At 45.1% G+C, this 26162-nt stretch overlaps 1 protein-coding gene and 1 long non-coding RNA gene across 13 annotated transcripts in view; one reads left to right on the plus strand and one right to left on the minus strand.

The window, feature by feature from the left end:
* The first annotated feature begins 8092 nt into the window (after positions 1 to 8092).
* Positions 8093 to 10319, plus strand: LOC124906002 (uncharacterized). The gene is made up of 2 exons (XR_007086308.1): positions 8093 to 8146; positions 9296 to 10319. It is a non-coding gene; the product is annotated as an uncharacterized LOC124906002 (long non-coding RNA).
* A 9887-nt stretch (positions 10320 to 20206) lies between these two features.
* The window catches only part of ATP6V1E2 (ATPase H+ transporting V1 subunit E2), a 30731-nt gene continuing 24775 nt past the window's right edge, over positions 20207 to 26162 (minus strand). For all 12 annotated transcript variants that reach the window (NM_001318063.2, XM_047446257.1, XM_017005225.2 and 9 more), the window contains one exon: positions 20207 to 21172. In NM_001318063.2, coding sequence (NP_001304992.1) covers positions 20391 to 21071 — 681 coding nt within the window. In that variant the 5' untranslated portion in view covers positions 21072 to 21172 and the 3' untranslated portion in view covers positions 20207 to 20390. The remainder of the gene's footprint in view (positions 21173 to 26162) is intronic.

Here is a 26162-nt window from a genome sequence, read left to right on the forward strand (position 1 = left end):
CCTGGTGTCTCTCTGAATGTCCAAATTTCCTCTTCCAAGGACACCAGTCAGATTGGATTAAGCCCTCATTTTAACGCCATGACTTCTTTTTTTGATTTCAATAGTTTTTGGGGTACAGGTGGTTTTTGATTACATGGATAAGTTCTATAGTGGTGATCTCTGAGATTTTGGTGCACCCATCACCCGAGCAGTGTACACTGTACCCAGTACGTAGTCTAAAGCCCCTATCTCCAGATGAGGTCACATTCTGAGGTTTCGGGGGTTAGGACTTCAACACTTGAATTTTGAGGGGAGATAATTCAGCCCATGACGCCCACTTTGCTGATGAGAAATCAGACTCCGAGAGGTTCAGGAATTGCCCAAGCTTGCTCAGCCAGGAGGTACCAGAGACCAAGTGTGGCAAGGAGCTGAAAGATGATTGGAAGAAAACAAAGAACCGTGCTGCGTCTCATTCATTTAGGTTTGTGAACAAAGGTTCCGAGCTGGTTTGATAACATGGGAAGAGAACTGCTACTCCATTTCAGATGGCATTGTGTGGCCCCCTGTATATCTCTCTAGATATGTGTAGCTGGGGTAGTGGCTCCAGAGTTTTTCTGCTTATGAATCTACCCTTTTATTCTAACTGTTCCCGTGTTTCTTTTTTGTTTGTTTTGTTCTGTTTTTTTGAGACAGGGTCTCGCTCTGTCACCGGTGCTGGAGTGCAGTGGCGCAATCTCGGCTCACTGCAGCCTTGCCCTCCTGTGTTCCCACACTTCCCTCACCAAGCGCTAAGGAGGAAAATGTCTTTGAGAGGGGACAGATGTAAGGCCTCACTCACTGGCCCACCTGACCCACACACCTGCCATTTCATGAGTGGCAGCAGATCTATACTCAAAGGCCTCGGTAACTCCCTCTGGATCCCACCCCATGTCCTCTCCTAGGTCCCCTAAGACGGGAGAGTCAGTCTGTAACTGGCAGCCTGGGGTCTTCCCTCTTCAATCTGCTATGCCTGGCTCTTTTTCTGAAGACCAGGTTGGTATGTCCACTCTGAGACAGGAGTAGGTATAAGAAAGAAGAGGGAGGTGGTTGGGTAAGAGAGAAACCCTATACAGTTCACTCAGGCTGACTTTCACTTCTGAGCAATCTCCATAGCCTCACATACATAAAGCCCATAATATTTGAGCTAGCCTGAGTGGGTTCCAAGAAAACAATGATTGGAAGACTCTGGAAGCACAGTAGTTGGTAGAAAGCTCACCTGCTCTCAGGTATCAGGCCAACTTCAAAAGAACTCCAGATGACTGCCCTTAAGCAAACTCTATGCACTGTGGGAGAATCCTTGTTCTCAAAACAGATCAGTTAGGAAACTGAGCATGGTGGCTCATGCCTGTAATCCCAGTACTTTGGGAGGCCAAGGCGGGCAGATCACCTGAGATCAGGAGTTCAAGACCAGCCTGACCAACATGGCAAAACCTCATCTCTACTAAAAGTACAAAAATTGGCCTGGCATGGTGGCATGCGCCTGTAATCCCAGCTACTCGGGAGGCTGAGGCAGGAGAATTGTTTGAACCCAGTAGGTGGAGGTTGCAGTGAGCCGAGATCGTGCCACTGCACTCCAGCCTGGGTGACAGAGCAAGACTCCATCTCAAAAACAAAAACAAACAAACAAAAACAGATCAATTAGGGCCAGGGTCAGAAGCTCAGATGCCAGGAGGGCCCAGGTGGGCCAGATAAAAGTGGGAAGCTGGCCAGGCATAGCTGACTGGAAAGGAAGAAGCCGTAAAGCAGGAAGCCTCTACTCCTTTTTCCCTCCTTCCCATCTTCACCATGTGGAGATACATGCCCCATGTCCAACTCAAGGGCAGCCAGAAATCCAGACTTTTATGTGATACCTGCTGATTTTTAAATGTTGGTTCAATTTTCTTTAGCCACTATACAGACCTAACAAAAGTCCACGGGGCCAACAGCTCACAATCTCTGAACTCGAAGTGTTATTTCCTTTATGATAAAGTCTCTGTTTCACTCAGAGACACGCTGGGGGATTTCGTTAAACAGAAGACACTCCTAGTACAAAAATAGAATGTGATTCACTCTCTAACAATGTTTAAGCACAGAAGCCGCAGTAAGGGATGCTTCTTCCCTTCACAAATTGCCTCACCTTGAGGTGTTTCAAAAGACAGATCTCTTAATGCATTTCAAATCAGGTTAGAGTGGCAAAAATCTAATTTTCATACAACTTCTTGAAGAAAGATGGCAATTTCACTAAAGCCTGGATCAAGATTAAGGAAGGCATGAAACAGAAGCCTGGGAGCAGGAAAATGAGGCGGGAGAGGGTGGCGGGGTGGAGGGTGAAAAGAAGGTGAAGCTGCATGCCCAGGCTCAGTGTTTGCAAAGAGGCTGGCAACCGCGGTGTGAAGCCAGTCAGACAAAGAGCAGTGGGGCCTGGGGACCCGAGTGAGCAGAGAGGGGAGGAGAAGGAGGGAGCATCATTGGTTTCCATGGTGACAAAGGAACAGGGATGGGAAGAAAGAGTGAGGGGGATGTCAGAGAAGAGCTATGTTGTGCTGCTGCCTATAACAAAGTCTTCTTTACCCGGACACCCTTGTCTATGATTTCTTGGCCCCTCTGATACTTCCCCCATCCTGATTCTCTGCTCATTCCTGGCATGAATAAATTACTATGAAATTAAGGACATTTAGATCCTAAACATGGATGTGATGGATGAATGGGTACCTACTTACTGAGCCTCTGTCTCCAAAAGGCCTCTTGGATTCAAAATATTTTCTCCAACGTGCTTCCGTAAAGCCCATGATTCCACCATTAGGGCAACATTGCTTATACTAAGGCTTTGTTCGTGTTCAATGATAAACCCTCATTAAGAGGGGGAATATCTGGGCTATCAATTTCTAGGGTCTCATAAGGAATTGATTTATCATATGTAACGACATGTATGTAACGATAAGTATTTAACGGGATCCCGGCTTCAGCCTAAGAATGTCCACTACTAGGGCTCAGGCCTACCTAGATATGCATGATAAACTGGTGGGGCAGACCCTAGACAGGACAGTTCATAGGATGGTTCCAGTAACATCTGCTGCGTGTGTCCGGCATTTATTTCCCCTTGATTTTCTTTTGGGCCACTCCCTCTTCCTCAATCTTAGTCCATGAGGTTCAGGTTAACTGACGTCTAGTCAAGGGGTAGGCCCAGGACCCAGATCTGGCCAACCAGGGTATTCCATCTTCTGGCCAAAATGACTGGTTAATATGTGGACACATGACCCAAGCCTGACCAATGAGTTTCAAACCTGGATGTTTTGCCGAAACTCTTGGAAAGATGAGCTCTTATTCCATTGGCTACTAAGCTGGTAGACTATGTGTCCAGAGATGCTGTTGGTCATCTTGTTCCACTTGGGGAAAGCCTACCTGAGAATAAAATCGATATGGAGAAAAGCAGAGCCAAGATATGGGAAGACAGATGGAGAAGGAGGGAGAGAGAAAGTGATTTCTTGATGACATGATTTGGGTCCCTGGATCCACCTGAGATAAGAGCTATCCCTAGACCTTTCAGCTTCCATTTTTGCTGTTAACTGATTTGAATTGGGTTTCTCTCACTCACAACCAAGAATTCTGAATCCTGCAAGGGCTTTCTCGTTATATGACTTGGCACCTCAGCTCAGCAACAGCTAACATAGGAGATACCATGGCATCTGTGCCCAGCCTGTTCTATAAAGAAAGATGTATTCATGAACCTAACCAAGGGAGTCTGAGGGAGATGTAGAGAAGCAGAGCCATTGGAACATATGTAAGCACGTGTGCCCGTCTTCAGGGAAGGGAGCCATTTCCCCACTTCTTGAGAGAAAACAGCCCTCCTCTAGCACCACGAAGGGCTTGATGATGGTGCCAAAGGAAGTGGCAGCAGGGCCTGGCTGAGAGGGGATGCCCAGCGGGAAACTCCACAGACACAGCATATGCTGTGCGCTGCCAACATACAGAGCACTGCGCTCGCAGGATGGTCCATGAAAGGTCTGGAAGCAGCCCAGGTGTCAATCAACCAGTGGGTAGGTAAATAAAATGTGGGATATCCATACAATATTTGGCAATAAAAAGGGATGAATTACTGATTCCTGCTATAACATGGATGAGCCTTGAATATATTATGCTAAGAAGCTAGTCACAAAGAGCCACATGTATGATTTCATTTACATGGAATGTCCAGAATAGGCAAGTCTGTAGACAGAAAGTAGATTCATGGTTGCCTAGGGCTCGAGGAACAGAGGGATTTGGCAGTGACAACTAAAAGGTACAGGGTTTCTTTTGGGGTAAAGAGATGTTCCAAAATTGATTGTGCTAGTGGTTGGTTGTTCAGCTCTATGAACACAGTAAAAACCACTGAAGAATCAGTACTTTAGAGGGTGAATTGCATGGTACGTGAATTATCTCAATAAAATTGTTACCAAAAAAAACCAAGGTTCTTGAGATACCTGCCCAGTTTGTGTGTGATGGGGGTGAGGGTCGGGGATTGGCCTCCAGAAGGCAAGGGCATATCACATAGCTGCTGTCACTCTGGGAGGCAGTACTGCCCTCAGACCTGGACAAGAGGGACCTTGCTCTGGGCATGCACTTTAAGAGGCCTCTACTCTGGCTCTCCTCCAGCCTGACTCTTCTCTGTGGGGTAAGGAGTCTCCAGGACCCAGTGGCTGTCTCCACCCATGCTCACACCTCCTTCCTCTTTCCTAGACCATACTCTGGGTATACAGGACCCTGGAATTACTTGCCCAAAAGGCCTCAGATCTGTCTCTAGAAACTGCAGGCCATGGCCAGGCACAGTGGCTCATACCTTTAATCCCACCACTTTGGGAGACCGAGGCGGGCAGATCACCAGAGGTCAGGAGTTCGAGACCAGTCCGGCCAACATGGTGAAACCCCTCCGGGAGTGGTGGTGGGCGACTGTAGTCCCAGCTACTTGGGAGGCTGAGGCCAGATAATCGCTTGAACCCGGGAGGTGGAGGTTGCAGTGAGCCGAGATCGTGCCACTGCACTCCAGCCTGGGTGACAAGAGCAAGACTCTGTCACCAAAAAAAAAAAAAAAAAGAAAACTGTAGGCCATAAGAGGTGTGATTGGAACTTGGATATGGAGTCTGGAATGCCCGTATCAGGCTCCCCAAAGATTAAGGCAGAGCTCAGTGTGACAGGAGGAGGGCAGGCCATGGGCTATGAGCTGCAGGCTCCGGGGTCAGCGATGGGGAAGGCCTGCAGCCAGATCTCCCCACAACCACAATGTTTCAGCATGGCTATCTCAGGACAATGAGATTCTAATTCAAACTTGACCTTCCAGGTCATTATGAAGATTTGTCAAGATAGGGGGCTACAGCATTTGACAGTTTGCTATTAACGGATTATAGTTAAACATATGTCAACACAATGTTTGTGGATCTCCTTTGGTCCTCTTGTCCTAGGTCCCCACAAATGTTAGGCACTGACTTGCTGGGAGGTGCTGTATTTAAGAGAGAAATCTATCAGAGCTTTTCTTTATAGCAAATCGCGGTGTGGGGTTTTCTCAGGTTGCATTTACGGATTTGGGAAACGTAATTCATAGACTCCTTGCTCCAGGCTTAAAAAAAAAAATAGCTAACACATGGCTGCCTGCAACCTTGAAGTTTAATGATTTCTTTCAATGACATCTTCTCAGCTGAGCCCAAGGATTGAGGCGTGTGCTGAGGCTGGAGACTAGGGTAGTTCTATGAGCCATGCATGCTAGGGAATTCCATGTCAGTCTGGCTGTCTTTAGTTTATTTTTTTAAGGTATAATGTAATAGAGTCCATTTGGCAGGGAATTCCAGCAGAAGCGTATGAGAAACATCTCAGAGCAGGGCTGGGGGCAGGCCAGAGTATCCGTTCATCCTTCTTCTACATCTATCCTGAGTGTCCCCAAACCCCCCTGGTTAGGCAGCTGTGCAATGCCAAAAGGTGTCCAGCTGCGGGGACATGTGGGAGCTGAAATCCAGCCCACCCTCCCCTGGCCAAGCTATGCCCCTTGGCACTGGGCTGCATCAGTTGAGAAGAAGGGGAGCTTTTTTCTTAGTACAAAGGTGTCCTGTCCTCCCCACCCCATGGGCTCATGGTGCTGCATCTGCCCAAAAGAGGGTCTTTTTCTAAGGACACAAAGGCACCATGAATGAGCGTGCCCTGGCTGGTGAGGAGAGGGAAGCTAGCAAAGGAGGCCAGTGCTGTGTCTGGGTCCAACAGGACTCTCACTCTCCCTGGCCTTGGCTGACCCCACAATGCTCCCCTCCACTCTGATGGGTCTGTTGCAGACACCACTCTGCCCTTGAGAGGCACCCCATGGAGGAATGAGAAGTAGGTTCTTTCAAGAGCTCAAATCAAGTTGAACCAAAAAGAGAAGGAAGGCTCTGAGAGAAGAGTTTCAGTCTGGAGAGACAGCTGGCGGGCGTGGGGTTCAGATCGGTTTTACTTTTGCCTCCTCCCAAGAAAGGCCCTGAAGAAAGAAGGTCACCCCTCAGGGAGGTCAGCCCTCAGGAGAGTACCTTCCCTCCTGCAAATAAACCTTCAGAACTTGCAGGAACCCCTCACCCCATCGCCTTTCTTTCCTTTGCTCACTAATCCAGGAATGGGCCAGTACAAACTAAGAGGCAGGCACTCTTAAGGATATGAAGATTTTCCAAAGGATACGTATTTTGGTGTGGGTCATTTGAAGAGACTCACGGGACCAAATCCTCAACTTCTGCTTGGCTGTCTTATACAGGTGACCTGTCTGAGTACATGCCAGTGGATGCTGCTGCTGTGGTTCTCCCTCCTGCCTCCCCTTTCTCCCATTTCCCCCCAAAAAGGGCATACCTCTTACCGATCCCACATCTTACCATGGTGCATTGACCAGGGAAAATGTCCAGTGCAGTGAAGGGAGAATCTAAATCCTGGTATCCATGCTGAGAAAATGAGCAGGAGCAACTCTAATGACCGAACAAATCAACTAGCTTTCAATTCCCTGCCTTTACTCAAAGTGAAGGAGAATCAATTCTAGCGGTCAGCTGATAGATTTTTAATGATCGGCCCATATGATTTTTGGCATATAACTCGAAAGGAATTTATACAGTTGAATGACACTGCTATCACCAAAGTCCTTGCATTCCTTTGTCCTTATGTGAAAAAGGTTTCTGAGCTGAGCATCAATTTTTAAAAAAGAAAAACAGGAATAGAATTAATGCTGAACTCTGACCCTTTCTAGCAATAACGATTATTCACCCATGAATATAGGAACTAACTGGGATGAAGAAGGAAGCGTCATTTCCTTAAAAGATGCATTTCAAATTAATTATTCTTTATGCTTTCTTGTTACCTATTACAATTTGTAAAGCATTTGTTTTGATTGTGTACTAGTCATCCTGGTACAAATGAAGACAAAATGTTCTTTAACACTGAGTATATGGTCACAGAAAAATTTAAAAGTAAATTCGTCTTATACACATAGTTTTGTTGGGAAGAAGTATGATAGAGTGAAGGGTGATACATAAAAGACTTTGAACCGTAAAAATATATTCTGCTAAAATTCTGTACGGGAAGTAGAAGAGAAATATAAGTTCAAGGAGAAAAAAAGAAATGAAATTTGTTCAAATTGTTCATGTAGTTTTAAAAGGGATGATGGTTGTATCCAATCACAATAGCATTACATTTAGAAACATTTTTCAGAGTACTGTGACAGTTTTATTTTAAAATGTCAAATATTTGCAATACACCAGAAAGTAGACTCTATGTAACTATTTAAACTTATGAAAACAATTTAAATGTTTGCACCTAAAAATGTGCAAGGGGTACACAGATTTTCAAAATTCTTTTAGGAGTCTGCAAGGAAAATGTTTAGAGAACCAGGGTCACGGAGCTGGCGCTTCCCTGCAAGGGGAGTGTACTTAGACGTAAAACCAAGGGCTCTGGGGATGGGAGGGCACCCTCAAAGTTAGGGGGTAAACTCTCACTGGGGCTGGGTTGGTGGCAAAGGAGCCAAGGCGCTCCCTCTTCACCCTAGCAATACTTTCCTCTGGTCTTTTGTTTTCTTGTTTTATTTTCAGCGTTCCTCTAAAATCCCATTCTCTCCACTACAGATGCTCTGCCAGGTCAGGGTGCGTTCTGCTCTGCGTTTTTCCATCCTGCCTAAACGGTACGTTTCTTCAGGGAAGCCCTCCCAGCCGGCCGCGCCCCCACCCCACCCCGACCCCTGGCTCCCCGAGTCCAATACGGTTTTGCGTAGCTAGGCGCGCGCCGCTTCCTCCTGTTGACTGTGACTTTGGGCCAGTCCTCCCTCCCCAGCTGGCTCCTAAGTTTTCTCATCGGTGTCTGCAAGTCTGTTTCCTCGGCAGTGAGATGTCGATAATCAGAATGAAGTAAGATGAAACCTGGCACGGAGCTTGGCCTGCAGCCAGAACAGGGCACCTAGTTGCATTTAGCAAATGTTTGCTAATTGTGAGGCTAAATCGTCTCGCTTCCCAGTGATTAGAGAAGCCTGGGCTTCCCAGTGCCCAGGAAACCAAGGAGAGTTCCCAAACCCTCACGTATCCTTTGAGTAACTTGCCAACTTGGGGTGATGAAAACGCACTCCCCTCCTCCCGCCGCCGCTGGGTCGGGCTCTGAACGCACGAGCCTCGGAGCTATGAGGTCATACACGGGTCACGTGGCCGCTGTCGCATCTGTCAACTGTGATACAATTACTAAGACTGTCCGGACATTCAAACCTGCTCTCTCCTCCTCCTCCCTCTCCGGTACGCCGGCCCTTTTCACACCAAGGGACCGTCTCAAAAGTCTAGGCTCCAAATGCTACGACGTAAGAAAGGAGGAGAAAGAGGGAGGAAAAAAGTCGAAGACTACACTTCTCGTTGCTGCCGTTTGAAAACTATGCCTAAGCCCCGTTATTTAAAATCCTTTCTGCCAAAGCAAGTTGGCATATGTATTAAGAGCCTTTTAAAAATCGTCATATTCTTTAACTCATTAATTCCTGTTCTAGGATGCTTGCATATGGAAATAGTCCAAACTAGAGCAAAGGTTTACAAAATTCACTCTCTTATTATTAAACTAACTATATATGATGAGAATGAATAAATCAGGTATAAAAGAACAATATGAAAGTCATTTAAAATGCTGATTTTTAAGAATTTTTCATGACATGCAACATGCACCCACCCAATGACAATAGCAAGTATTTGTCATGTGCCAAATGTTCTGCTAAATGCTTTATGTGGATTGACTCTTACAACCTTAAGAGACAGATCATCTAATTCTTTCTTTCTTTCTTTCTTTTTTTTTTTTTTTTGAGGCGGGGTCTTACTCTGTCCCACAGGCTAGAGTACAGTGGCGCAATCATGGCTCATACGGCCTCGACTTCCCTGGCTCAAGCAATTCTCCAACCCAGCTTCCCAAGTAGCTGGGACTACAGGCACTCGCCAACACGCCCTGCTATTTTTAAAATTTTTTGTAGAGATAGGGTCTCATTATGTTGCCTGGACTGGTCTCTAACTCCTAGATTCAAGCAATCTGCCCACCTCAGCCCCCCAAAGTGTTGGGGTTACAGATGTGAGCCACTGCACCCAGCATTCTTCTTCTTCTAAAAACTGGCCTAGACAAAAAAAAATTGCCTAAAGTTGAATAGCTAATAAAGTGTGAAAAATTGAGGGTTACAGTTTATCCAAAGGGATGAACTCTGATTTAGGTTAATTTGAGTCTAGAGCCCAGCCTCTTAGCCTCCACACTCTGAACTGTCTGCCACAATAGTAACTAGGAAGAAATAAGAATACAACACTGCATATACACCATCAGGCCAGTGATGTGTATATATGTGTATACATTTGCCACTACACACAATGTATGCAGAGGAAAAGGATGGGAAGACAGACTCCCACATTTTCACTATGGTATCTCTCAGTGGTACAATCACCAGTGATTTAGATTTTCTTTTAAATTTTCTATAATGTGTGTGTGTGTGTATTAATTTAACAATTAGATAAAATGTTATGTACAGGTCGATTTCACTAAAAAGCCAGGTGCTGATTACAGCAGTATTCATTATAATGAAAACTTGAAAGTAGCTCACATATCAATTACTGTTGATACTCGGGTCACTATTGGATTTGTTAAGTGAGTTATAAAATATATATCTATTGCAATAGTTTGCAGCCATTGAAAATGAAGATTACAAAGACCAAGTGAAACCATTATGTGAAAAAATAAAAAATGCTAGGCATATTATGCATAATTATTTGAGGATATCATTGTAAAATCTGTAAGGAAAGAGGAAATGATAACTGCAACAGGATAGTAAAATTAAATTTGATTTAAAAATATTTTTTGAACTTCTATAACATTTTTCTATTTCTTGTTTAATAATAAAACTAGTTTCATTGATTTAAGGTTTAGTATCAAAATTAGCATGGAACACCTAGATGCCTCTTTTGCCTTTTAGAGTATGCTTTCTGCTTCATCTCATTTTATGGCCCAAACATCCCAATGCAAATAGGCATTTTCTCTCCCACGTTAATGACAGGACAGTTATGGCCAAGAAAAAGTGAGCAAGTTGCTTGATGTAAACTAGCAGGTGAATGGCAACGCTGCACTAGAACCCTAGGCTTGCAAGCTCCCGCCTCAAGGCTCTGGCCTATAAACGCACAGTGATTCTCTCACATAGAGGGCTGCAAAGCCCTGCCTAGAGAATACAAACTGCTATTATTAAGACCCCAAACCCAAGATCCAAGTGTAGGTTCTCTCTAGTGGGTAAGCCTGGAGGCAGGAAACATGCCTGTTAATGCTCTTGGTCTTCAGAATGGGAAGTCAAAGGCCTAAAGCATTCTCCTGCACTCTCCAAACTCATCCACCCACCCACTTCCCCCCAACCATACACACACAGCCACCCTTGTCCTCAAAAGCAGTCTCCCTGGTAACGTGTTCTGCCCTTGGATGGAGACAGAGGCCAGTGGATTTGTAGTTTATCCTCTTCTTGCAGTTTAAGGTACAACCCTGCCCACAACCCCAGTAAGAGAAGCAAGGATCCCCGAGGCCAGAATGTGCCAAAGTCCAGTTGCAAACCAGGCCGGTATCAGTGAAATAAGCCTGGAAAGAGAGATGAGAAGAGGTCAAGGGTCAGCGACAGCTGGTGAAGCCAGCACTGGGGTGGGGATTGGGGGCCTGGAGAGCCCCAGAAAAGTTGGTCATGGGCCCCTGGTCCCTCACTTAATAGATATGTGACTTGCCAGGGTCACACAGCAGCTGGAGAGAACGGGGAGTGAGCCCAATCTAAAGCCCAAAGGAATCCATCAAAGACAGGGCCACAATTCCACAAAGCCAGGCTCTATTCATTCATTCAAGATATACCCAGCACCCTTCTTGCTAACCATATCTTTCTGATTTTTATGGGGCCAGAGCCAATACCCTAGCCCTCACCCCACTCCCTAGTCCCTTGGTGGGGCTGATGAACCTCATGGCTCAAAGTGGGAAAAATCTGGGAAGTCACAGGTAAAGGGGTGGTCATCTCTCCAGGGCAACAAACTGAAACTCCAAAGCACATGAAACAAACCAATGGGCTGAGAGTCCAGGAGATGTCCGAGTCTGAGGATTCCACAGCACAGTGGGGAAAGTTTCTGGAAGGTAGAAGGAGGCAGGAAGAGGTGCCTCTCAACTCAAGTAGTCAAGAAATTTAAGCATGCTTTAAAGAACTAAGAGAAAACTGAAAGGTATGGAGGTGTGGTAATGGCACAAAAATTTAAAAGGGGGAGCTAAGCCTAGGTTTAGCAGTCCTGCTGGCAGGTGAGGGTCCCCAGTAAGGAGAAAGGGAGGTGAGAGTGCGTGGATAAGGTGATGCTTCCTCTGCTGGCCTGAAGGATTTCTGTAAACAGTGCATGTGTTTGTTCCTGCCTTGGGGTGGGATTGTCATCATGTTAGCCACTTCTGCTACTAAAGACATAGGTGAAGCTAATGGTATTCTTTGCAAGGAAAAGGAATATCATTGTCCCCAGAAACTATTTACAGGGGGCTTTCCAAAAAAAATGTTTTAAGTGTGCATTGGTTGGAGCTGGCTGATGATGGGGCATTGGCTTTCCTACTTCTGCGGAGTTGCTGAGAGTTATTTTGAGCAAGGAAGGGGAGAGGCAAGTGCAAGAACTGGCACACAGTAAAATGAGGCCGTGTCCCTTACATACTTTGGAGCTCCCAGTGGCTTCCCACTCTAGTTAGGATAAATCCAAATTCCTTAAATGCCGCCCACAAGACCCACAAAAGCCTTATCCTTTCTCTTTCTCCTCCACACACTTAGCAAAGCCCCATTGGTCTCCTTCTTGCTCCTTAAACCAACAGAGCTGTTTTTGCCTTGATGCCCCCATGGTTCAAGTGTTGCTGCGGTCTGCATGTCAGTGTCCCCCTAAAATTCATGTGTTGACACTTAATCCCCAAGGTGATAGTGTTAAGAAGTGGGGCCTCTGGGAGGTGATTAGATTGGGAGGGCTCTGCTCCTCATGAATGAGATTAGGTGCCTTGATCTTGGACTTCCCAGCCTCCAGACTGTGAGCAATGAATTTCTCTTGTTTATAAATTGCCCAGCCTAAGGTATTTTCTTATAGCAGCCCAAACAATCCAAGACAGATGTGACACGCTTGCCGTTCCCTCTGCTTAGAATGAATGCCCTTCCTGTTTCCCCAGTTCCCTCCTCCCCTTCTTCTGTTTTTGTGTCTGGCTCCTTCCCTTCCTTTAGGTGCAAGGGAGATTTAGGAAGAGGCCTTCCTTGAGCTGGGGTCATGGAAGGCCATGCTGCCCATAACCCTTTACTTCTCCTTAACACTTTAACCAATCCCAAGTCATCACCTGCCCACTTGTTTAGGGTTCCTTCACAAACCTGACCCCTCCCACTGTGCCCACCCCTCCCTGCTTTATCCACATTAGAATGTTCCTTTGTGAAGGCTGGGCCTTAACTGTCTTGTTCATTGCAAGGGATGCAGTGCCTGGCAGAGTGTCTGACACTTGGTAACTACTCAATAAATATTTGTCAAATGAATGAATGAATAAGAGGTCTACTGAACTGAATTTAACTGAATGAAAACCCAAGGTTCAATTTCCAAACAAGCAAAGACAAAAATCTTCAAACACTCCCTATCGTTCTCCTTCTACGGGTTGAACCCCAACGCATTTTGTTTCTACTCCCTCCCCTCCCCCTCCTTCCCTCTCTCCTTTCCTTTCTTCCTTCCTTCCAGCCTTTCCCTGGGCCCCTCAAGTCACATCCCTTGTACAGTCACCCACAGGCACCCCTTCTCTGTGGGCCTTCATTTTGACCAAGCCCTGAGGTCACAACACCCTGGGAAGGAGACATGAAGGATTTTCCAAGGACCCAGCTGTGGCCACGCACTTTCTGTCCTCTCTGTCCTGCTGGAAGCCAAAGTTCTTAAGCTTCTGTACAGCAAGTTTTTCATAAAATGAACGATGACAACCTAGTCTTTTCAGGCTTTCTGTTTGCAGTTGCAGGAGGCTTCTTAGCTGGTGATGACCCTGGACTGCTTCCTGGCTTACTCTGGGCTTCAGATTCGGACAAACATTTGGCTCTCAAGGTCACTTCATGCTCTAAACCTTCTGTAATCTCCAGGACATCAATCCACTCAGGTTTGGTAGGAGCTAGGGTGAGTCAAACATCACCCTCTACAGGCTCATCTGCCAGTGATGAAAGCATGTGCTCGGTGCCCCCACTCCAAGGATGTGCTGGAGGGTGTGGGGAGCCGGGCCCAGGGCCTGCCTGGACTGATCCCCTTTTGCTGCATCAGCAATGGGAAGCAGAGTAACTCACCTCCCAATGAAAGGAGTTAAGAAAAGAACCTTTATCTGAGGAATACAAGTCCTTTTAATTATCAGGCCCAGAGAGACACTAAAACGAGACAGCAATCATGTCCTACTCCCCTGCTTTGAGCAATGTGTTCGTCTCTTGAAGCTGCTTGCTATCACCACAGGTAGCTATAGATCAACCTAATAGTGCCTCACCAGACACTGTAACCCACGCTTTATAGCTTAACAATGTATAGCCAATCAAATCAATGTTATTTATGTAAACCAATGAGAATTCCTGACAAACAACTTTATATCAGCCCATACCCCATCCTCTGCTTTTGCCTTTAAAAATCCACTTGTAACTTCAGCTAATCAGAGTGTGTATTTAGGGCAACTTGAATCTATGCTCGCAGGTTGCAATCCTCAAACTTGACTCAAATAAACTCTCTACTTATATTAATTTTGTCTCTGCTTCTACCGTTTAGGTTGACATATTGCCGTTTTGTAAGGCAAGACCACTGGGTAAGCTGTGTGATTGTGCAGGAAAGCACGGGGCGCTAGGAAAGGTGAGGGTTTATCGTGCTTTAGGACCACCCATAGTAAGGTGGGGGTGGGAGGTGAGACTAGAGTCCTTTCCCAGTGCTGTCAGTACCAGGTGTGATTTCAGAGATGAACTTGTGAATTGGAAGGGGTGTCTGGGTGGACTGGGGAGAGCATAGGATGGGGGCAAAGACTTCAGCAATGTCCCTGTGGAGCCTAGGAAGGGGCTGCAGTTGCTCCCTAGAGCTGAGGTGGGGTGTGTGTGGTTGGGCCCAGAGTTGATCTGCTGACCCACTTCTACGGGCCCCATGAGCCCAGGGTCAGAGATGAAGCCCTGCAGCATTTCCTGTTGGTTCCCCTGCCTTCTCTGAGGTCCTGCCACACAATCAAAGCATCCCCTCCATCTCTGGCTCTCCAGGCAGCTCAAGATCAGAACCAAATCCACACTCTCCCTTCACCAAGTTACTCTGCCTACCATCCTCAGGAGGCAGCTGGCCTCCTAGCATGTGGGGCAGGACCTCCCTGCTGTGTGTTCAGCTTCCCCCAGCTCTTCCCCAGCAGGGAGTGAGTCTACAGCAGTCCCATCACCATAAGCAAAGCCTCTGCATCCGTAGCAGACAGCTTCCCTTGCGCCTGGGGAGGAAGTGTTAATGAAGAGAGGTGTGGGGAAGGGTTGTGCCTGTCTGCCGTCGTAACAGTTTGCTCCTTTTGGCTCACGGGACCAAGGAGCTTACACAAGGAGCATGCCTTCTAGAGGGGAGGATGTTAATGCCAATAAAAGATGCATATTAGTGTGTACCATTCACTCAACTAAGAGAATGCGCCCAGTGCAAACCTTTCTAAGGTAAAGACCTCTACAGGGCCGTAGCTGTCGGAGCTCAACAGGATGGTGACAGGTAGCCCACCCCAAAGGTCAAGTCTAGCCTTGATGGCCACATAGACATGAAGGCTAAGATGTGCCTCTCCCATGGCTGAGGCCCCCATGGAGGACACAGACCAGGCCCAGTCCCTCCAGAGCCTCCTGCCTCTGCACCCAGGTCCAAAGCAAAGCCCCTCCCATCTGTTTCCCATGGAGGGATGGGATTCAATAAATCCTCAGGCAAGCCCAGGAGTAACCAACCACTGGACTGAAGTGAGGCAGGGGGCATATCCTGCCTGAATTTCAGGCTGTTCCCATCCACAGTCTTTCCCTGGGAGCAACAGAGGATTTTCTTGTCCAGAAGGATCCTTGGAATACAATGCACCACCTTTCCCCTGACCACCATCTCATATCCTTGCCCATTTTTATGTCCAAATCTATGGACTAGGAAAGGAGAGAGGCTCTGGAGTCCTCCATCCATAACCCAGAGCCAGGCCTGGAGAGAAGAATGTAACAATGATCAACGCTTGTTCAGAACCTACTGTGTTAGGCACTAAAGTAACACAGCAGCAGGGGATGCAAAAAAGAGAAAAGACACAGTCTCTGTCCATAAGGAGCTGTGTCTAAAAAGATGAGACACAGTAGATAAAGTTGCTAACAGTATAGAAAAGTAGTGTGTGAAAAGTCCTCAACGAGAGACACAGTCCCTACGTCCAGAGACTGCGAGAGGCCAAGGCTTTTGTGTTGCTGAAGGGACATGGTGAGGTAAAGGCTGGAACCCACGGGGTTGAGAGGGAGAAGGCTGGGGAGAAAGAGCTAATGTGTGGCAGCTCCAGGAGAGAGAAAAGTTGGAAAATATAGAGATGCTTAAATGCAACTTAGGGGAAAGTTTGTCCCATAGGTACAATGCAACACTCTCCTCAACTTCCCACAAAACCCTTCATAAAACCTACGACTGTCCATTTTTGGGGGAGGTGAATTGATGTTGGGGGCAGCTAACAGATTGAGGGTGGCTCAGGGGGCCAGAGCTAGGGTAGGCCGAGGGGGTTCAGACACTCCAGGGTTACAGCAGGAAGTGGGGGCTGACTTCCCGGAAGGGGAAGGGCTGGGGGCTTGATCAGCTGGGAAGTGGGTGCTTTGCTGGGCCTGGAATGATGGTGAGGAGAGAGGGGGGAAATCTTGGAGCATAGGGAGACTCTCATAAGAAAAAATTGTAAGATGATGTGAAACTAATAGAGCCTCAAGCCTGGACAAATGAAAAAATATATTGGGGTGGGGGAAGGGAGGAGGCATAGGACAGAAGTCACTGATTCTAATCTCTTCCACCTTTGTGTCGTGAAGTTCACCTGCCTCACGAAAGAGCGGGTAGGTTATTTATCACCTCTCACTCAGGCTGATAAATAGCCCCCATGAGAGGTGCCCTACCTCCAGTCTCTCCCCCACATTAATGTGTCCTCCACCTAGAGCGACACTGGAATAATCTTTCTGAAAGTCCAGCTCTCATTGTTTCATTCACTCTTAAAGTCCCTCAATGACCTCCTTATCACTCACCCACCAGAATTAAGTCAAAACTCCTGAGTAGGCCAGGTGTGGTGACTCACGCCTGTAATTCTAACACTTTGAGAGGCCAAGGCTGGAGGACTGTTTGAGCCCAGGAGGTCAAGACCAGCCTGGCCAACATAGTGAGACCCATCTCTACAAAGAATAAAAAAAACTGGCCAGGTGCAGTGGTGCATGCCTGTAGTCCCAGCTACTCAGGACTGGGGACCAAGCCCCCAGCCCATCCCCTTCTGGGAATTTGGCTCCCACTTCCTGCTGTAACCTGCTGAGATGGGAGGATCGCTCGAGCCTAGGAGGTTGAGGTTGCAGTGAGCCAAGATCACACCACTGCACTTCAGTCTGGGCAACAGAACAAGACCTCATCTCAAAAAAAAAAAAAACAAAAAATAACAAAAAACAAAAAAAACCCCACAAAAACAAAAACAAACAAGAAAACCTCCAGAGCAACACCCTGTAATGAGGCCCATCTTTCCACCTTCATCCATGGTCTCTTCCTCCTCACCCCTCACATTCCATCACGCTGAACTACACACAGCTCCTGTAATGCACCCTGCGTTTTCACACCTCAGGGCCTTGGCACATGCTTTCCTTCCTTTGCCTGGAGCGCTTTCCCCAGCTCAACTGCCAAAGCCCAGGAACCCTTCTGTTACCCTCCCTTCCAGCCACTGTCTTCCCACAGGATTGCACATCAGCACTAGGCTGGCACTTGCTACATTGTATCATTATCATGATCATCATCTGTTTATGTGTCTATGACTCCTTAAAGAAAAGAGCCAGATCATATTCTTTTTTGCAGCCCAGCACCCAGCACAGTGCCTGGCTCATCACTGGCATTTGGAAAATGTTCACTGAGGCTGGGCGCGGTGGCTTGCACCTGTAATCCCAGCACTTTGGGAGGCCAAGGCGGGCAGATCATGAGGTCAGGAGTTCGAGACCAGCCTGGCCAACATGGTGAAACCCTGTCTCTACTAAAAATACCAAAATTAGCCAGGTGTTGTGGCACGTGCCTGTAGTCCCAGCTACTCGGGAGGCTGAGGCAGAAGAATCACTTGAACCCATGAGGCGGAGGTTGCAGTGAGCCGAGATCATGCCACTGCACTCCAGCCTGGGCGACACAGCTAGACTCCATCTCAAAAAAAACCAAAAAACAAACAAACAAACAAACAAACAAAAAAAACAATGTTCATTTGAAACTCAAAAGGGCCCACATAGAAGACACCCTGTGGGGAGTCCGTTCAGTTGACAAAGACCCTTCTTTCTCTGGGAACTACCCCAGACACCACATGGACCATAGGTAGACACCTGACCCCAGCTCGGCCAAATAGATTCCCTCCTGGGAAAATGGAATGGACTTCAAGAGAAGCAAGTTTGTTTCTGGAACTATAACATGTCAACTTTGGAATTGTGGGGCATGCATATTCCACCATTTAAACTGGGCAACAGAGAAAGTCACTCGTTAAAGAAAGAAAAATGGCCATATAGAGGATTTCAGATGGCTTTCTGAGTCCCAATTCCAGCCCTCTCCTGAGATCATGAAGGATTCCTATTCTAGGTTCTGTGAGACACCCCAACTTACTAGTAGCCTGTCCCCTACTTTGTGTTTGAGTTTCATGAAGTTTCTGTTCCTTACAGAGTCGTAACCACACAGGCCAACCTTTGCCCTCAGCAGAGCATCTTGGGATTTCTTTTCTTCAAAAAAATTCTATTTTAATAAGTAAAGCAACATCAGGCATGCACTAGACCTTAAATCACACATACATATGCAGAACCTGCTATGTAATCTGCAGAGCCCAGTACAAAATGAAAATGTGAGATCTGGCCAGGCACGGTGGCTTACGCCTGTAATCCCAGCACTTTGGGAGGCCGAGGCTGGTGGATCACCTGAGGTCAGGAGTTCGAGACCTGCCTGGCCAATATAGTGAAACCCCGTCTCTACTAAAAATACAAAATTAGCTGGGTATAGTGGCACGCACCTGTAATCCCAGCTATTCGGGAGGCTGAGGCAGGAGAATCACTTGAACCCAGGAGACGGAGGTTGCAGTGAGCCATGATCGTGCCACTGCACTCCAGCCTGGGCAACAGGAGAGAAACTCCATCTCAAAAAAAAAAAAAAAAAGAAAAAAAAAAAAAGAAGAAGAAGAAAAGTAAAGAAAATGTGAGATCCTTTGTTCAAAAAGCAGGAAAGAAGTGCCATGAATGGCACTAAAAGATAAAGCTTTTTCCTTTCTTCTGTAGTTTTTTCTTGACTTTTCATAGTGTTTATTTGCTGTTTAATGTCTTAAGTGAAGAAAATTTAAATTATTAGCATGAATTCTACCATTCGAAGTTTAAATTATTAGCATGAATTCTACCATTTACTTTTCTATTGTGCAATGCCTATATGCCAAGTCACCAAAATTATACAATCTGTATTTCTTGGCTCCTCCCAGAAGGTGCCTCACACTGGCCAGAAGAGATGCATCCAAGTTCCCCCAGGCACTGAGCTGTCCAAGGGAGGACCCGGCCAGGCACAGAGATACTTTGCAGGCCAAGTGCAGACATTTACAAGCTCCTGAGGGTCCTGCCCTAAGACTCTGGTGCAGCAAGTTCGGCAGTGGTTGGGTCCCCCTTCCCACTAGCCACCACTGTGGGCCTGGGCCAGGATCAGGGAAGATGAGCTGGCATCTCTCCTTCCAGTGGGCTGGCTGCCCTATAGCGGATAGGTAACTCCTAGGGTCTTTAAACCTCTACACCAGGACGGGCTCAGTATCTGGTGTGTAAGAGACTCACCCCTTCCCTCAAGTTGTCTACTGAATATGCTATGGAGCTGCCAGCCTTGGGCAGAGATTTCAGGCCCTGAAACTCCACAGAGCATGAAACCCCATTCTGACCCTCCCTGCAGGTACACCAGGCCCCCACCAGGAGCAGAGGGAAGCAATGCTTACTGGGTGAGGTGGAGGAAGGCTGGGCCTCAGGGCACCAGGGGACTGGGAATTGGTTGGCCAACAACCCATCCCAAGAAGGTGGGTAGGCTTTGGGAGTCAGTACCATGTGTGAGCCAAGGCTCCAAACCCCTGGCACATGCCCCAGGGTTCCATCAAGCATCCCTTACAAAGCATACATCCAAAGTTGAAATTAGGAATTTCAGGGCAGCAAATACAGATCACTAATCCCCAGGTGCGGGGCCCTTCTGAGCTTGGCCCCTGTGTGACTGTGCTGGTTGGATGCACATGAAGTTGGTTCTGGACATGTGAGGAAGATCTCTAGACCTCATTAAATAACATAAATTTGGGTACTGAAGCTGAAACAAAAGAAAAACACACTTCATATGCATATTAAACTAGAGCACCCAGATTCACAGGCGAAGAACACTATTCACATCTCACACATTCACCACCTGAGGCCAAGCTGAAGAGCAGATGTCATCACTCCCCTTATCCCAGACTGCAGAATGGACCAGAAGCTGTGGCATGTATGGATGAATTGGAATTTGAATTCTGAGCATTAATTTGGGCTTTATTTCAAAGTTAACACTTTAGCTATCCAAAGGGTATTTCGTGAAGAAAAACAGAACAGTATCAGAGCATCAAAGAGGAGGAAACACTACTAGTTTCCTTTCCCCAAAAAACTTAAACTTTTATGGTTTAGTGGTTCAACACTAGCTTCACTTCCCAGAGGCTTATATAAAGAACTTTCTGTTGGTGTTAGCACCAAACAAGGCCATTCGTATTTCTGGCATCTTTTGCTTGGCTGAGAGATCCAGTCGGCTTTCCAAGGTATTTGAAACCTTTATTCTCTGATTGCCACTGTAGACCTCCACACCTCCAGCTGCATTCACAGCCAGGTATGCCTCTTTATCAATCTGGACCTCCACATGTTTCTGGGAAATTGTCATGTACTCGGGGATGGCTTTTTGTACAGCAGCCTCCACCAGGAGGAGGTCTTGTGGCCGGCAGCGTACAATCATCACAGGTTCCAGCAGTCGGAGCAGACCCTGGAGCACCAGTTTATCCAGCAGCCCCTGGTAGACCTCTGGGTCCTCCACAATCCTGCTGAGTCTCAGCTTCGCCTCACTGAGCAAATCTGAGATGAGGTCATTTCGGGCTCTCAGGACTTTCAGCCTCGCCTGATTCCTCATGGTGGACATCAGGATTTTCTTCTGCTGCTCTATCTGCTTCTCCTTTTTCTCATAATACTCCATAATCTTCAGTCGTTGGGTTTGCACGAGGCGTCCTTTCTCAATGTTAAACTCTTCCTCAGCCTTGGCATCGATTTCCTCTGCTTTCTCATTGGCTTCCTGCTCAATGAAAGCCATCATGTGCTTAATCTGCTTTTTCACATCGACATCACTCAGGGCCATGGCTGCTCTCAGAGGGGACGGCAGAGAGGGAGCTCGTACACCGTTTGGCTCCTTTGACTTAGGACAATTTCAGGAGTGTCTCTGGAGTTCCACTTTCTCAGCTATACCAGTGAACAAGAGGATGAAAGAGAAAGTCAGAGGCTATAGAGGAGGATTACAGAGACTGTATATATACCCCTCACTTCACAGATGAGGAAATTGAGGTCCAGAGAAGGAACACAATTTATCTAAGGTTATACTCTAGAAGAATGAGACTTGAACCAGGATCTCCAGAATTCTATCCCTGCTACACTCACTCTCATTGTTATCAAATAATAATGAGGTAGTTAGGGCAGACCTAGTCCAGAAGTTCTCTACACAGCAGTGGCCTAAGACTCAGATAGCAAGCCAACAGAATGGAAACACCAAATTAATACATAAATGGAAAGCATATCCACATTTGGGGTCAGGAGGGTTGGGGAAAGTCTTAAGAAACTCATGGTCAGCCAGGATTTAATCCAGCCAGGATTGAATCCTTCCTGGAGGTAGGAGGGTTGTAAGAACCTTCAAACGATACAGAGAAAAAGGAGTACTACTAAGCGGAAAATGGCACCTTGGAGAGATGAGACTTGCTTTGTAACCTAACATGAGATTCATCCTAAAGAATGTTCCATGTGCACTTGAGGAGAATGTGCATTCTGCTGCTGTTGGGTGGAATGTTCTGCATATATGTCTGTAAGCTCCATTTGGTCTATAGCGTTGTTCAAGTTCTCTGTTTCTTTACTGATTTTCTGTCTGCATATTCTATCCATTATCTATTCACTTCCCCGAAGCTTTTATTTAAAAACTTTATGGCTGGGCGCAGTGGCTCACGCCTGTAATCCCAGCACTTTGGGAGGTTGAGACGGGTGGATCACGAGGTCAGGAGATCAAGACCATCCTGGCCAACATGGTGAAACCCCGTCTCTACTAAAATACAAAAAAATTAGCCAGGCTTGGTGGCACGTGTCTGTAGTCCCAGCTACTCAGGGGGCTGAGGCAGGAGAATCGCTTGAACCCAGGAGGCAGAGGTTGCAGTGAGCTGAGATCGCGCCACTGTACTTGAGCCTGATGACACAGCAAGACTCCATTTCAAAAACAACAACAACAACAAAACACGTTATATTCTTTATATAAGCCTAGACTTCCCCATTTCCCTAAAGCTTATATAAGGGAAGGGGAAGAGATTGAAGGTGGTCTTTTTACTAGAAGTGGTTCCAAACCCGGATGTATATCTGAACCACTTGGAGGATCTTTAAGAAATATAGCTTTTAGTGTGGTGACTCATGCCTGTAATCCCAGCACTTTGGGAGGCCGAGGTGGGTGGATCAACTGAGGTCAATAGTTCAAGACCAGCCTGGCCAACATGGTGAAATCCCATCTCTACTAAAAATAAAAAAATTAGCTGGGTGTGGTGGTGGATGCCTGTAATCCCAGCTACTCAGGGGGCTGAGGCAGGAGAATCGCTTGAACCCAGGAGGTGGAGATTCCAGTGAGCTGAACTCGACTATTGCAGTCCAGCTTGGGTGACAAGAGTGAGACTCTGTCTCAAAAAAATAAATAAATAAAAAGAAAAAAGAAAAAAGGAAATACAGCTTTTAAGGCCCCAACCCTACACCTACTGAATCAGAATCTCTGCCAGTAAGGTCTGGGAAGCCATATCTTTAAAAGGTTCCCTGGGATGCTCAACAAGCCCAGGAAAATGATGTATGAACAAAATGAGAATATCAAAAGAGATATAGAAAATATGAAAAAGAACCAAACAAATTTTGGAGCTGAAGAATACAATAACTGAACTGAAAAAATTCACTAGAGGAGTTCAACAGGAAAAGATCAGTGAGCTTGAAGATATAACATTTGAAATTATCCAGTCAAAGGAGCAAAAAGAAAAGAAGAATGAGAAAGAGTAAAGAAAGCCTAAGAGACTTACAGGACATCATCAAGCAGACCAATATATGCATTATGGGAGTCTCAAAAGAAGGCTGGGAAAAAAGGATAGAAAGTTTTTAAAGAAATAATGGCCAAAACTTCTCAAATCTGGGGAGGGAAATGTCTATCCAGATTCAAGAAGTCTAACGGACTCCAACTAAGATAAACCCAAAAAAGTCCTTATCAAGACACATTATAATCAAATTGTCAAAAGTCAAAGACAGAAAGAGAAAAGAGCCATCACATATAAGGGAGCTTCTATAAGACTAACAGTGGATTTCTCAGTAGATATCTTGTAGTACAGGAAAGAGTAAGATGATATATTCAAAGGGCTGAAAAAAAAACCCTGCTAATCAAGAATACTATATTTGGAAAAACTGTCCTACAAAAAGGAAAGAAAACTAAAGATTTTGCTAGATAAACAAAAGCTGAGGAAGTTCATCACCACTAGACCTACCTTACAAGATATACTAAATGGAATCTTTCTATTTGAAACAGAAGGCCACTAGACAGCATATGAAAGTGTAAAGCTCACTAGTAAAGATAAAGATATTGGCAAATACAGAATACTGTAATACTGTAATGGTGATATGTAAATCACTTTTAATTCTGGTATAGAAGTTAAAAGGCAAAAGTATAAAAAGTAACCATAACTATAAAAATATGTTAATGGATACATAATGTAAAAAGATGCAATTTGTGACATAAATAACAATGTTGGGGGGTAAAAAAAGAGTTTTTGCTTGTGATTGAAGTTAATTCATCAGCTTAAAGTAGACAGTTAAAATTATAACATGTTTCATGTTAGCCCACAGTTACTACAAAGAAAATACCTTTGGAAGTTACACAAAAGAAAATGTGAAAAGAATTGAAGTATGTTGCCACCAGGGGTTGGGGGCAGGTATGGGGGAGTCAAACACAAGGAAGATAGCAAGAGAGGAAAAGAGAGACAAAAAGCCGTGAGACAAAAAACAAAAAACAACAGTTAACAAATAGCAACAGTCAGTCTTTCTCTATCAGTAATTACTTTAAATATAAATGGATTAAATGTTCCAATGAAAAGATATAAAGTGGCTGAATGGATTAACAAAAATAAACAAGATCTTACTATTTGCTGTCTACAAGAGACTAATTTTAGAAATTAAGGACACACACAGGCTGAGGGTGAAAGGATGGAAAAATATATTCCATGCAAAAGTAACAAGAGAGGGCAGGGGTGGCCATACTGATGTCAGACAAAATAGACTTTAAGTCAAGAACTGTCACAAGAGACAAAGACATTATATAATGATAAAAGAGTCAATTCACCTGGAAGATAGAACACTTATAAATATATATGTACCCAACATCAGAGCACCCAAATATATGAAGCAAGCATTGACAGAACCAAAGGAAGAAATAGACAGCAATACAATAATAGTAGGAAATTTCAATACCCTACTGTCAAAATGGAGAGAATATCCAGACAGAAAATCAGTAAAAAAGCAGAGAACTTGAACAACACCATAGACCAAATGGACCTTACAGACATATATGCAGAGCCTTCCACCCAACAGCAGCACAATACACATTCTTCTCAAGCACACATGGAACAGTCTTTAGGACAGATCACATGTTAGGTTATAAAACGAATCTCAATAAATTTAAGAAGATTGAAATCACACCAGGTATCTTTTCAACTATATGGAATGAAACCGGAAATCAATAGCTGAAGGAAAATTAGAAAATTCACACATATGTGGAAATCAAGCAACACATTTTTGAACAACCAAGGGTTAAAGAATAAGTCAGGCCGGATGCAATGGCTCATGCCTATAATCCCAACACTTTGGGAGGCTGAAGCAGGAATCGCTTGAACCTGGTAGTGCGAGGCTGTAATAAGCTAATGAGGTGCCAGTGCACTCCAGTCTGGGCAACAGAATGAGACCCTATCTCTAAAAAAAATTTTTAAAAGAATAAGTCAAAAAGAAAACTAGAACATATCTTGAGACCAAATGAAAATGAAACTACAACATACCTAAACTTATGAGATGCAGCAAAAGCAATTCTAAGAGGAAAATTTATAGTAGTAAACTCTATATTAAAAAAAAAAACTCTCAAGTTACCTAACTTTACACCTCAAGGAACTAGAATACTTGTTTACTGAAAAGTATAAAACATTGCTGAAAGAAGTTAAAAACAAATAAATGGAAAGACATCCCATGTTCATATGTTGGAAGAACTAATATTGTTAAAATGTCCATACTAACCAAAATGATCCACAGATTCTGTGCAATCCCTATCAAAATCCTGATGCTGTTTTTTGCAGAAATAGGGTGGGAGAATTCTAAAATTCATATAGAATCACAAAGGACCCCAAATAGCCAAAAACAATCTTGAGAAAGAACAACAAAGCTAAAGGTCTCACATTTCCTGACTTCAACATATACTACGAAGTTAAAGTAATTAAAACAGTATGGTACTGGCATAAAGCTAGATATATAGACCAATGGAAAAGAATGAAGAGCCCAGAAATAAACCCCACATTTACAATCAAATGATCATCAATAAGGGTGCCAAGACTACATAATGGGGGAAAGATAGCCTCTTCAATAAATGGTGTTGGGAAAACTAGATATCCACATGCAAAAGAATGAAATTGGACCCTTATTTTAAGCATACACAAAAATCAACTAAAAATTGATTGAAGACTTAAATGTAAGGCCTGAAACGATAAAATTCCTAGAAAGAAACAAACGGGAAAAGCTTCATAACACTGGTCTTGCCAATGATTTCTTGGATATGACAGAGAAAGCACAGACAACAAAAGCAAAAATAGACAAATGAGATTGCATAAAATTTAAAAGCATCTATGCAGCAAATCAAACAATCCACAGAGTGAAAAGGTCACCAATGGAGTGGGAAAAATATCTGCAAACCGTATATCTCATAAGAAGTTAATATCCAGAATACATAAGGAACTTTTACAACTCAAAGCAAAAGCAACAACAACAACAAACTTGATTTTAAAATGGGCAAAACACCTGAGTAGACATTTCTCTAAAGAAGACATACAAAGGCCAACAGGCATAGGAAAACATCATGTGCTCAACATCAATCATCAAGTAAATGCAAAGCAAAAGCACAATGAGATATCACTTTACT

Source organism: Homo sapiens, chromosome 2 (genome assembly GCF_000001405.40).
Source record: "Homo sapiens chromosome 2, GRCh38.p14 Primary Assembly".
Lineage (NCBI taxonomy): Eukaryota > Metazoa > Chordata > Mammalia > Primates > Hominidae > Homo > Homo sapiens.